Here is a 13,698-nt window from a genome sequence, read left to right as displayed (position 1 = left end):
AGAAAAGCAAAAGAATAATTATCAGAAAATTTAGGTGGGAGGAAAGGTAATATAATGGGGATCAGCCACCTAAGTAGGGCCTCAAGACAAAATACAGGGCCCCCAATTGAATTTGAATTTTAGGTAAATAATAAATGATATTTTAGTAAGTGATTTTCCAAATATTGCATGGAACAAACTTATACTAAAAAAATCATTAATTGTTTATCTGAAATTCAATTTCCACATTTTTAATTTACTAATCTAGCAACACTGCTTTTAAGGCACCAACCATGATGTATTTCTTGACCATGGCTATGCTATTACTTGACTGAGAGCATTCACTTTATTTTTTAAAAATGTACATACATATTTTATGAGCTTTTCTGTATATACACTATCTTTCATGATAAATTTGTGTTGAAATGTTCTCACTTCTTAAATACAATGGAACAATTTGTACCAATTACAAAAACATTATCTTATTTACCCCATCTCTCTCCCCACCCAAATGCTGAATGAAATCCATTCATATCCCATTACAGTGAAGAAACTGAGTCTTAAAAGTTAAATAACATGTCCATAGCCACAGAGCTGGTAAACAGTAGAATCAAGTTTCAACCTGAGTCTATCAGACCCCAAAGTCTGTACTCCTAACCACTGGAAAATGCCTGTGTTATGCAACAAAAAATAACATGGACCAAAGTCTCTGGAGGCCCTTAGGAAACTTGCATCTGTGCTTGTCCTTGGAGCAAGGGATTGTCAAATCTCTCTGACAATGGGGTCAAGAGTAAAAAATTTTATAAAAGAATAGAGGGAATCAACAAACACCCACACTGAGATGTCGCATATATTGGAATTATCTGGCAAGTATTTTAAAGCAGCCATCATAAAAATGTTTTCACAAGCAGTTATGAATGTGCTTGGAGCAAATGAAAAAATAGAAATTCTCAGCAAAAAAAAAATGTAAAGAAGAATCACGTGAAAATTTTAGAATTGAAAATACAATAACAAAATTTTTAAAAAAACATAATGAATGGACTCAATAGCAGGAGAGGCCAGAGGCAAGAATCTATGAACTTAAAGATATAACAATAGAAATTACTCAATTTGAGCAACAGAGAAAAAAAATAGACTAAAAAAAGAAATGAACAGACTCTTTCAGGAACCTGAGCAAAAATGACAAAAGACCTAACATTTGTGTCATTAGTTTCAGAAAGAGAGGAGAAAGAAGATGGAGGTGGAAAAGTACTCAAATAAATGAAGGCTGAAAGCTTTCCAAATTTGGCAAAAACTGGAAAACCTACAGTTTCAAGAACCTGGGAGAATCCCAAAGAGAATAAACCCAAAGATATACACACCAAGACATCTTATAATCAAACTTCAGAAAACGAAAGACAAAAATAAAACATCTTAAAAGCAGCGAGAGAGAAATGCCATTTTACCTATAGAGGAAATGACAGTGGATTCCTCATCAGAAACTGCAGGGGCCAGAAAGAAGTGGCACAGGATTTTTTAAGAGCTGAAAGAAAATAACTGTCAGCTTTGAATTCTATGTCCCATGAAATTATCCTTCAAGAAGTAAAATCAAGACATTCTCAGAGGAAGGAAAACTAAGAGTTTGTCACTAATAGACCTACCCTAAAAGCATGGCCAAAGGAAGATCTTGAAACAGAAGGAAAATGATAAAAGAAGGAGTCTTGGAACATCTGAAAGCAAGCAAGAACAATGGAGGGGTAAAAATAGGATACATACAATAGTCTCTCCTTCTATTCTTAAGTTTTCTAAATTAGATTTGACAGTCAAGGCAAAAAAGCATGATATTGTCTAATATGAATTTCAATGTACATAGAGGAATATTTTAGACAATTGTGTTGTAAATAGCCAGGGCAGGAAAAGTGAAGGGACTAAGAGGAAATAAGCTTTCTACCCTTTACTCAAACTAGTAAAATATTGATAATAGTAGATCTTTGTGGTGATCTCTATCTTGGTTGTGATGGTGGTTAAAAGAATCTATCTACATATGTGATAAAATGAAATAGAACTATACACACACATTATACCAATGCCAATTTCCTGGTTTTAATATTGTATTATAGTTATACAAGTGTAATATTGAGAAGATTGAGTAAAGGGTAAATGGGAACTCTCTGCTCTGGGTACATGGGAACTCTTCGTCTTATCTTTGCAATTTCCTCTAAATCTGCAATTATTTCAAGATAGGAGAGAGAGTGAGAAGAGAGTGAGAGAGCAAGAGTGAGAGTGAGTGGGAGAACACAGAGTGCTGCAATTTTCATGTTTTTCCTGGTATACTTGTTTGATTTTATGGTATCCAGAAAAAGCCCAAGTGGCTTTAAGATGTCTAAGTTCTGGCTAGATGGAGACTACACTAATTGAACTGAGGCGTCTGTGGGTCAGCCTGAAACAAGATGATCTTGTGCCTGAAACACATCTTGGTTTCCCGTGTCCTTTCAAGGGAATCAATATATTGATTTTCATTTACCTAGCCATATGTGGCCAGGACATGGTTTATTCAGAGATGTCCCCTTTCCCTATGCATCAAAAGACATGGAGTAGGCTAATTGAGAGCTCTAAAAACACAGTTTCCCTAGAGAGGTATAGGCCACAAAACAGAAAGGCTCCTTCTTTGGAATTTCCTCCTTTTCCATCCGGTTTGGCCTTCTGTGCTCATGGTCTGGTCTTTCTGAATAATGTGTATACCGTGTATACCCAGACCCTTATCTGAGCTCTGCCTCCAAACTATATTTTTACTTTCCCACTCCTTTCTTTATCCATCACCATCTTCCTTGCCCAAATCACTTTCATCGCCCATGTGGATTACTTCAATATTTTCTTCTTGGTCCTCATTTTTCCATCTTTTCCCCTTAAAATCCATGCTTCATAGAGCAGCCCACGTAGTATTCTAATAATGTACATCTGATTGCCTACTTAGCACCTTTAATAGCTCCCCTTGCACTTGGAGTAAAATGTAAACTTGGTGCTATGGCCTGCAGGATTCTGCATGTCCTGGCCCCTGCCCATTTCCCTGGCCTCAATTTTCCTCAGGTACACTGGCTGCTTTTCTGTTCCTTCACCATCTAAGCTGTTCCATGCATCAAGGCCTCACCCCTCTCCTTGGAAGGGAGCTCTTACTGCTCTTTGTGCAGCTGGTTCTCTTTCTTATCCATTGTGTTGCAGTTGAAATGCCCCATATCCAGGTGGCCTTCCTTGATCCTTTTCTAAAGCAGCTCCCACTTCATTGACTCCCTGTTATATCAGTCTATTAATTTTCTCCATCATGTTTATTATACTTTCTAATTATCCTATTTGTTTTCTTATTTATTGTCTGTCATTCCCCTAGAACATAAGCTTCATGAGGGCAGGGATTTTGCCTTCCTGTTGACTGTAGTAGCCTGAGCTCAATAGGTACTTGCTGAACAAGTAAATGAATAGAAGAATGAGAGATGAATTATAAACCATTAGAACTGGCAGGAATGTTTTTGCCCCAAGACAAGTCCTCTGGGAACATTTGGAGGGTCTTGAGGAGAGAGGTAATGACAGTAACCTGCTATGTTCATAGAGCACCTTAACAAGTGTGTAGAGCATTTTGAACTGTAGCATCTACAGCTGCATGAAGTGGACAGGATATCATTATTTTCATTCAACAAATAAAAAGAAGTGAGGTTCCTTAGGGTCACACAGATAGGAGCAGGCGGGAGCCTGGAATCCAGATAAGACAGTTCAGCTTCTCAGCACACAGGCATCTGGTGGAGTGCTTTGGAACAAGATGCCCCTGTCACCCCCAGCAGCTGTGCAGCCTTCACTGTTTACCCAGCAGCAGGGGCTTCTGGTGGTCTGCATCAGGTCCTGTCACCTGAATATATAGCAAAGCTAAGAAGAATTCCCCAAGGAGGGCAAAGATTTCAAGAAGCAATGGAGGCATGCCAACGTGATGCACAGGGAAGAGAGACAGAAGCAAGAAGAGAGTTGGAAAATAAATCAATGGCAACATTTTTTAAATGAACTGGGGTCTTGGAGGCTTTAGTTGATCCAACCTTAAGCACCTGTTCATCCATTCCAGAGAATGATCAGAGCAGGACCTGGTCTCTCTTTTCCAAGAGCCTCATGGTGCCTCTGCAGTCCCAGAGCCGAGAACACAGAGGGGAGACATCCACTCTGAAATCTGACAGTGTCGCTGCTAGATTGTAGTCTTGCATAACGTCCTCTGTTTTTTAAGAAACATTGAGATAATGATGAAAGAATCTCAAAAGTGACTCTTTGTTGTTCCCCTTCTATTGCTTCAAAAGATTATAGTATTTAAGTGACTAACAATCCCAGTTTCCAAAGAGCCTCCATTTGAGCAATAATGTTACCGCAGAAATTCAACTTGCATATACATACCTTTAATCATGTGGCAAATTACCTTATTAACCACCAGGGAGTCTAGTCTTATTACTTAATTAAACCATCTCTTTCTTTTCTTCTTATTAAAACCACATGGGTTTTAACTTCTGTGTGGTTTTAGATTCTTTCCCTGCTCTTTGGATGTCTGTGTAGTAATAGCTGCATAAAAGAATTTCTGTGATTTTGTGTTGATGTCTAAAGGGTTAGCAACATTAAATAAAGTGTGGGTGGGGGAGGGGGGTGGGCAGAGATAGTCTGGATAGGCTCACATTGGCCAGTGATGTAACAGCCACTTGGGTGGTATGAAGGCCTGAGATGTGTACCGTCGCTTACTGCTTTCTCTCGCCAAAACATCTGGAATACAAAATCCTGTCATTAGACAGCCCACATGTTAGAAAAACAAAAGGACAGAAAAAAGGAAACCCAGTTCCCCCAGAATGGCTGGAGAAAGCCTCATTATTGCTGGTAGGAAATTAGACATTTAAGGTTATACATCAAAGCAACTATTTTTATTACAAGAGGCTCAACATTTTGATTTATTGGGCAGCAGAACAAGATTGTGACAAATATTTCCACCTCAAAGAAAAGGCAGATCAGGCCTCTAAAAAGTCATATATTAAGTAGTTTAAAAATAAAGTCTGTTGCAACAATAGTTGTAATGATGAAAATTGTATGCTTCCATTCACAGCCCCAAAGAGATAGCTGCTTTAGTTCACAGGCCTACAAGAAGAAATGATTTAATCTTGTGGGAATTTTATTCTAATCAAAGGAAAGTGCTAAAATTTTGTAAAATGAAAGAACTAAAATTGGTAATAAGCCTGTGCTACCTTTCTGCAATGGACAGCTCTGAGCAGGGCCTGTGTACAACCCTGCATTTCAACTGAGCTGCACCATTGAATCAAGAGGAATGGGAAGAATGGATGCTAAAATAGGATGGCTTTGGAGAAGTCCATCAAAATAATTAAAGAATAAAACACAGGGGTTTGAGACAACGCTAAGGAATTTAGAATACTCAGTCTTGGTTAAAAAAAAATTATAGAGGGTTAGGTTAGTATAACCATTTTGGGTAGAAACAGTATGTTGTATTAAATGGTGACCACCTCCACCCATCTCCATCTGGATGTGACCTTTTTTCTATACCATGGACAATTCCGATCAGATTAAATCAGCTTCAGTGAGAGTGTACATGATTAAATGTGGAAAATGAGTTTCTCAGGCAGACTGCAAAGTTGTTGTCTGAGTAGGTCTCTGGAAAAAGAGGCGTATCTTTCCAAGGGAGTTGTGGGAAGAGAATTTAGTGGGAAGAGCAGATGCTGTGATGTGAGGCTCATGGCTTGGTTTCTAGTCCCAGCTCTGCCACTAACAAACTCTGTGACTTCAGCTAAGTGCTTTAACTTCTCTGGGCCATGGGTTCTCATCTAGAAAATGAGATCAGACTAGGTGATCTAGAAGACCTCACTGCAGCATATTGACTCTAGGAGGAAGGCAGAATGGCCATGGGAGAGCAACGAGATTCTTTTTCATCTTATTCTTAGGGACTACTACTTGGGAGGGAAGTTCGTCAGACAAATTAGAGTATCTGTATAGGGATATGCATGTGTGAGTGTGTGGTTATGCTGGAGGGAGACAAAAGGAACTCCGTGAACCAGAAGTATGTTCATAAAGCTATAGGTGTAGTTGGAAATCTAAATGCCATGCAAAGGAATTCTAAAGGTGAATGCTTTGTAAATTGAATAATTACTGCCATATGCATCTGTCTTGCAAGCATACATTTTCATTAGTTAGGGGCCTGCTGCAATTCTGAATGCTACGTTGTGCTACATAAATATGTGTATGAAATAACTTTCAGGATAATCTAACATAACCTAGCACTGAATGCCAACAACAGGGATAATGGAGTTTCAGCAAAATGAGCCTGAAATGCTGCAGAATCCTGAGGTACTTTTTGAATCATCAAAAGATAAATCAGTCTTGCCTAGTATTCCTTTATTTTTAAATTTAAAAGTGCTTTACTGAATACTAACTGTGAACAGTTAGGAATTCCTCAATAAATTTTTATTTATCAATTGGATAGTATATAAGATAAATTTCTATTAGCTAGAAAATTGAACTTATATAGAACAACCCAGGTCTCTCAAGCTTGGTGCCAAAGGCCTATCCTCTTTTGTTATTGTGGGACTCAAAGAGAGAGCAAGTGGGAAAGCACTCTGGAAACCACTAGGCTGATGGCCACACAAACAACTTATTTGAAAACATTGCCCTATGAGAACTTCATAAATCAAAGCAGGTCTCCAAAACTAGCCAAGGTCACCGTGAGTCTGTGAGAGACAGTCCCGGTGAGTGGGAGGGAAAGACAAAAGCCGCCGGTGCAAACATACCCTCTAACTCATCCATTGACAATTACTGGGCTCCCAACCCTGGACTTCAAAACATTTGGAAAATGTTCATAAACATGTTCGGAATCCCATGGTGTAAGTAAAACATTTTTATAAGATTATAAAATAAAGAAAACTGGCGTGGGTTTTGTTTGAACAAGTGTGCTGGTGATTTCTTTTCCTAAGGTGAGGGACTCTTACACAAGTCTTGGTAATTGCTCTGAGGGAATTTGCCTCTTAATTTTTGAAAACACGATAAAATGCATGCAAATCTCTAAATCTTGTAGATGACAGCCCCTAAACCTCAGAAATGTGTGGGGAGAATTTGAATGAAAGATGACTCTACTCAGGCTATAGTCTGAGGAACAGAATTTAACAGGAGACAATGGAATTCTTACTTTGATCCTCACTTATGTGGAAACATGAGGATTTTGGAGAGTTTCTTCATATAAAGAACGCCCACAGATTTCTCTGGGAGGTAAGTAGGCCTAACCACTAACAAACTAGCTGTTTCCAGAAGAATGAAGCATACAATGTCATTGGCTAATTTATATTAATTGCCACTGCTAACAGTTAAAAGCCTAAAGGGAAAGAAAGGGTGGGTAACAGACCACCTTCTTGTGGCTAGATACAGTGGAAGTTGTACATAATTTCCCCCTCCCCTGTTTTTGAGGAATTTCCTAAAGCCGCTGGAAACCCCATCTCTGGTGGGATTTGAGGATGGGTTGGAGAAGACAGAAGGGAATTCTTACTTGAGGAAGTTGTGGCTGGCAGATTCTCATTTTCCTTCCCTGGCCTTTGCTTACCAGTTTCAAAGGCATGCTTTTTTAGTTAGGGCATCAGCTGGGGTAAATAGTTTTGAAAACGAGAAGTTGAAGCCCCTCTCAGGGGAGAGGATTGGTATTTTTTCTTCCAGGAAAAGAGTACAGTAAGAGGAGATGTATTTATGCAGTAAGCAGTGACTCTTTGAGAAGTCAAAGAGTGGAGCTGGTCTCCATGTTCCCAGTTAATGACCAAGCAAGGGGAGGAGCAACAAGATCAAAGTTGCTTTAGGGCAAAATTGCTAACATTCCTGAAATAGCCCCAGATTCCTCACATCCCAATAAGCAAGAATCAAGTTCACTCATTTGTGAAGAGGACCCAGTGCAGCCCTCAGTTCTTTTGTTACCTTGACTTTCAGCTCATTGTCCTGGCTGACCTCCTCTTAAACCAAAGAGTAATGACTGCTGATTTGACTATTGTTCTTTGTGCATAAAGATGTCAGGGGTCAAGATCTGTACCTACACAGAATCCAACCCTCAAGAAAAAAACTAGAAGAAGGCTCCATTCATGCGGTTAAATATTTAGACACGTAAAGACAGCCTACATGTAAAAGTAACCTGAAGGAAAAAGTTAAAGGAAATGACACTTATAATTGCTCCATTAAGATTTTGAGGAGTTCCAGAGGTAGCAACACACACACACACACACACACACACACACACACACACACACACACACACACACAGAATCTAAAAACCTAGAACCTTTTCAGGTGGCCGGATATACACATAACAATAATATTAGGTTGGTGCAAAAGTAATTGCGGTCTTTGCCATTAAAGTAATGGCAAACTGCAATTACTATTGCACCAGCTTAATATGTACCAGTTTGGGTCTGAAGTCCTTTTTCTATTCCATCAAAAATCATAACATCCTTTTAAGAGTCCATGATAAGGTTGATAAAAGAGTTCTAGTTTATGTGTTCTAAGTTTCAAGTAAAGGAGAGAAAGAACCAAGATATTCAGTCACTCAAAATATTAAAAAGGAAATTATTTATAGAGAAATGTTAGCTTTTAAAAAATGGCAAACCAAGTATTAGGAAGATATCATAATTACAGTGGAAAATAATTGTTATATGTCTTTGTATAGATACATATTTTCACTTCCCTTTGGTGAATACCTAGAAATAGGATTTCTGAGTTACACGTACATGTATATTTAACATTATAATAAACTGTCAAATTGTTTTCCAAAGTAGCACTATCATTTTGCATTCCTAACAGTGATATATGACAATTCTAGTTGCCCTACATCCTCCACAACATTTGGTCTTGTTAGTCTTTAGTGTTAGCCATTCTAGTGGATGTGTAGTAGTAGCTTACCATAGTTTCAATTTGCATTATTTTAATGACTAATGATATTGAGCATCTTTGCATGCACTCTTTTGCTGTTCCTAGGTCTTATTTGGGATTAATGTCCAACTTACTATTTATTTTATTTTATTGCGTTGTTTGTTGTCTTATTATTTAGTTCTAAGAGTTTTTTTTATCAGATACATGGTTTACAAATATTTTCCGACAGTCTGTAGCTTGCCTTTTCATTTTCTCTAGTGTCTTAGAGTAAAAGTTTTTATTTTGATAAAGTACAATTATTGATTAGTTCTTTTATGGTTTCTGCTTTTTATGTCTTAAGAATTATTCCCCTAACCCAAGGCTGCAAAGACATTCTCCTATGTTTTCTTCTTATAATCCATTTCAAGTTAATTTTTGTATATGATAAGGTAAGAATGGAGGGTTTTTATTTTTCTCTTGTGTAAGTCTATTCAATTTTTTCAGCAACACTTGTTGCAAAGATGGTGCTTTGTTCATTGAGTTACTTTGGCACCTTTGTCAAATTCAATCCAAATCCCATCAGGCACTTTTTCTATTTTATAAATTGGCTAGCTTTTTAAAAATTTATATGGAAATGCAAGGGAACTAGAATAGTCTAAACAATTGTGGGGGGAAAAACCAACAATTTTTGAGGTTTTATTTGACCTGATATTTAGACTTACTTACCTATAATAAACTACATGGTGAGGTATTGGCATAAATCTAAACATATAAAAAATAGAACACAAGGGAATCCAGAATAGAGACACACACATTCATGATTATTTTTATTTTTTAAGTATTTAAAGCAATTTTTATTTCTTATTTTCTGCAGATACAAGTGAAATCACAATGACATCAATAATCCTGAATTTCTTCTTCACACTCACTCATGAAAAGTCTCCGATTTTCCCACCTTGCTCAGCCACCTTAAGTGCCTTCCTTCAAGATATTTCCTACTGCTTCTAAAGAGGATCTCCCATTGGCTTGGGAGCAGCGTGTGAGTCACACTCCTTCCCTTCAGTCCAAGCCGTGGACTCCCTCTCTTTCTCGCTACACCTTAGCCCGCTGTCCTACCATTGACTCCACAGTGCTGTGGGAGAATGCCCATGTTCATTGCACAGTCTAGCCTTCCTGTCTTCAATGTTGCTGGCAACTTTGGAGGTGTCAGGGGGAGCTAATTTCCACATAACAATGGGGAAACTGTCTTTTGTCTCAACTCAAAGTCTCCAGGCCTAAAAGTAGCACTGTTTTTGTCCAGAGTCTCACAAAGTTTCTAAAAAATTCAACTTCTCTAATTGCTATTCAAACCTAACTTTTTAGTGAACTCGAGACTAGCTTAAGATGTGGAATAGGGAACAGATAACAGTCTCTGCTTCATACAAAATGTCTCTTTATACTTTCTCAGGGATGCGGGCATTAGGCATTAAAAAATCCAAATAAATGTGCAACCACCCCCGACTTTCATCCTCCTCTTTAGCCCCTAAAACAAAACATTCCTTCCATGCTTACCAACTCAAGGCAAATGAATGCTGGAAATGATAGTTGTTATCATTATTAATATTGTTGAGTACTACTTAATAATAGTTATCCCAGCCTACCAGTTATGAATGTTGACTGGCAATTTGCGGGCTTAAATGGAACTCTCAGCTTATCCTTAACAGTCATGAAAACTGAGACAGAATGATTTTTTCTGTGGTCACATAACAAGGATTTGGTTGCTGAATTCAGATACTATGCCCCAGAGGTCACCACTATACAAGCTCAAATAATTTGTTGATTCAGTGTTCTCCCATTTAGTCAAAGGAGAAATCACTTCAGGAAGGCAAGCTTCAGTCTGTCCTGGTATTTAAATAAAGCAAATAATTGGTTCAATCAAAATGGTCACACCGGGGTCCTTAATAGGTCCTACGTTAGAAGAGAAGTGTCCCAAGGTCTCTAGAGAGTATTTCATACTAGTAATTTTGTGGCTTTGAGTTAAGATTTTAGAAACAGACTCTGTCATGAAACACTGGAGAAACTTCTGAAAAGGTATTTCTGGAAAGTCACTGGGTAGGTTAATGAAAATACATCTATTTAGTTTTGTCAGAAGGATCCTGGTGTGTACAGTAGGGGATATGCAATCCATCAAATCAAAACATAATCAAAGGCACAATGTGAAGAAATATAATTATAACTTATGCTTACTCTTGGAGCCCAGACCTTACCCTTCCAACCTCCCACTTCAAATTCAAATAAAAATGAAAGCAAATCTGCCATATTTCAGACAAAGCAGTGTTGGATTTATGAGTGAAAAAGTTGACGGGAGGGTGGGTCTATGGGGAGGACGTAATTGTAGGACTGAAGGACTCCACTGAGTAAACTACCCTCCACCTTATAGAATCCAGACGCAGGCCCTGTTAGCATAAAGGTCTGACTGATTTCCAGAAACGCCGTCATCCATCAGGGGAGAAAAGATTGTTCCATTCATAAGGGCTGGACTACTTGTTGATGACAATTCAATAACATTCCCACATATGTGGAGATAAATGACACTTTTACCCTCTCTCCTCTAATAAACACTGTACTCCTAAAAGAACAAAGCTCTAGGGACTGAATCTCAGGAGTGTACATTCGGCCTGGATTATTATTTCTCTATTCTGGGAAAGACGCTGGGGCTGTGAGGGGTATGATTTTTCACAGTCCAGGAGCCAGGCACAAAACAACGAAGCTCTCAGAAACAAGCTGCAGGGACAAGGGAGAGGAGTTGTGGGCAGTGAGAGAACTCGCCCCCACCATCACACACTAGGGTGATGGAGGAAGATTCACTGGGCTCCACACGGAGCTGTCATCAAAGCTGCCACCATCAGCAGCTTTGGACCTACTGGACCAATCCCAGTAGGTCCCAGCCTTCCACCTAAGGAAGGACAAAATGATTCTGACATCCAAAGACCCATATCCCATGCCATGGAAAGGTAAAGGAGCCATCTGAATGTCCACCCAGGGCCTGGGTAGAGAACATGTCTCAGGTGGAAGACTATGTCCTGTGAACCATGAGAGCTAGGAATCATGAAATCGAGGGTTGAAAAAGCCAGAGAAGGGCCCTGAACACACTAGCTGCAACTCTAATTCCATGGCTAGAGTGTTCAAGCACACAGTCAGACCTTTGGCCAAGCAGTCCGTCAGTGTAGTCAGGCCTGCGATCAGACAGGAGAGACCGAGTCAGCCTCTGGCTAGTTCTGTTACCTCCACAAGTGGAGAAGCCAAAGCTAAAGGCCCCTATAGGCTCTAGACTCCTTCTTGCTTGTCTCTTTCTAAGACTGATTTTTCCAGCTTGCGCTATGCCCTTTTGACTTTCTTTCCCATCAGTAATTTTTATTTGACTGGCCTAGCAGAGATTTCTACAATGACTTTTCCAGAAATGATCAAGATGACATTAGAGAGTCTGTGATCACTAGGAAAATTTTAAAAGAAAGTTTTCTAAGTCAGTCTCTACTCCCTACTCCCTATTCAGCCTCCTGCCCCACACCACATACACACACACACACACAAAAACCCATACAGTGTTTACCAATTAATAAGAAAAGAGAAAACCTTCCTTTTTAAATTTTTTATTTAAACATTTTATCTTATATATATATATAAAAGGCCGTGTCTCACTATGTTGCCTGGCTGGTCTCAAACTCCTGGCCTCAAGCAATCCTCATGCCTCAGCCTCCCCAAGTGCTGGGATTACAGATGTGAGCCTCTGCACCTGGCTGGGAAAATCTTATTGAAGCCAATCCTATTTGTCACCTATATTCCTCACACCCAAGCTCTTCTCCTTTGCCAAGTGTTGCTTCCATAAGTTTTAAACACGGCACCAGGTTACCATCTCAGAGTTTTAAGGAGCCAGATTGTTTGAATCAGAGCTATGAACAAAAGAAAGAAGGATCAAATGAGACGCAGAGGAAATCCCTGACCCATGCAGTCAGAGTGGGCTAGCCTGCAATTTTCTCCTCAAAAATGTATAACACTAATTGCTTTCACCCAAAGTAATTTTCTAAGCAGCAAATTAAGAAGCTTAAGAAGAAATAACCCACAGTCACTGTGGATTAGAAAATGAGCAACTTTGTAGTGTGGGATCCTGATGGATGTGATACAGAGCTAAATGCGAGAGCCAGAGTCTGAGCTGCTGCTTTCGCGATGATGAGCTGCCCCTCTTCCTCCTGAACGGAAAAGGAGCAATCTGGGGGTTTTATGTCAGCTTCACTAAGGAGGAGATTTCTCTAGGTCAGAGGATTTTCCAGGCAGCCCAATCAATGCCACTTGAAAAGCTCCAGGGGCTGATCCTAAAGACATTGTCATTCAGCAGATTTAGGTCAACTCCATTTAAACGAAAAGTTTGGGATTTTGCCCATTGATCCTAAAGGAGTTGATCAAGTTCTCAGAACATCATTCTTCCTAACCCTGATGCAGTGTAGCAGAGATAGAGACAGAGAAGTCCTCAAGGACAATCTCACCGGGCAAATTCCTTTGTGCCTTTGAGGCCTTCTTTTCCTGGGGCTTCCCTAGTCTCTAGTTTCCTTAAAGGTAGTCACAAGAATAACAAAGGATACACATTTATGGAAGACTCATTTTGTGATAGGCTCTGTTTGGGCCTCACCTTTACTTTTTAAACCATGACAGCTACTCCATATAGTAAGTACTATGGTTACACCATTTTACAGATGGCAGAACTAAGGTATAGAGAGCTTAAGTAACTCACCTTCCCAAGGGTTCATAGCTACTAAGAGAGACAGAAGAGATTTCACTAGAGTCTGAGCTCTTGACCACAATGTGTGCTTTTAT

At 39.2% G+C, this 13,698-nt stretch overlaps 1 annotated feature.

Annotated features, from left to right (window-relative positions):
* Nucleotides 12,948–13,450: an enhancer, noted in NCBI's record as "NANOG hESC enhancer chr5:73562459-73562961 (GRCh37/hg19 assembly coordinates)". NCBI's record gives its function as "activates a minimal SCP1, AML or CMV promoter by ChIP-STARR-seq in naive H9 embryonic stem cells {active_cell/tissue: H9 hESC(naive)}" and the evidence as "EXISTENCE:reporter gene assay evidence [ECO:0000049][PMID:30033119]".

Source organism: Homo sapiens, chromosome 5, assembly GCF_000001405.40.
Source record: "Homo sapiens chromosome 5, GRCh38.p14 Primary Assembly".
In the NCBI taxonomy this organism is placed as follows: Eukaryota; Metazoa; Chordata; class Mammalia; order Primates; family Hominidae; genus Homo; species Homo sapiens.
Note: the sequence above shows the minus strand (reverse complement) of the source record. Positions and strands in the feature narration are given on the sequence as shown.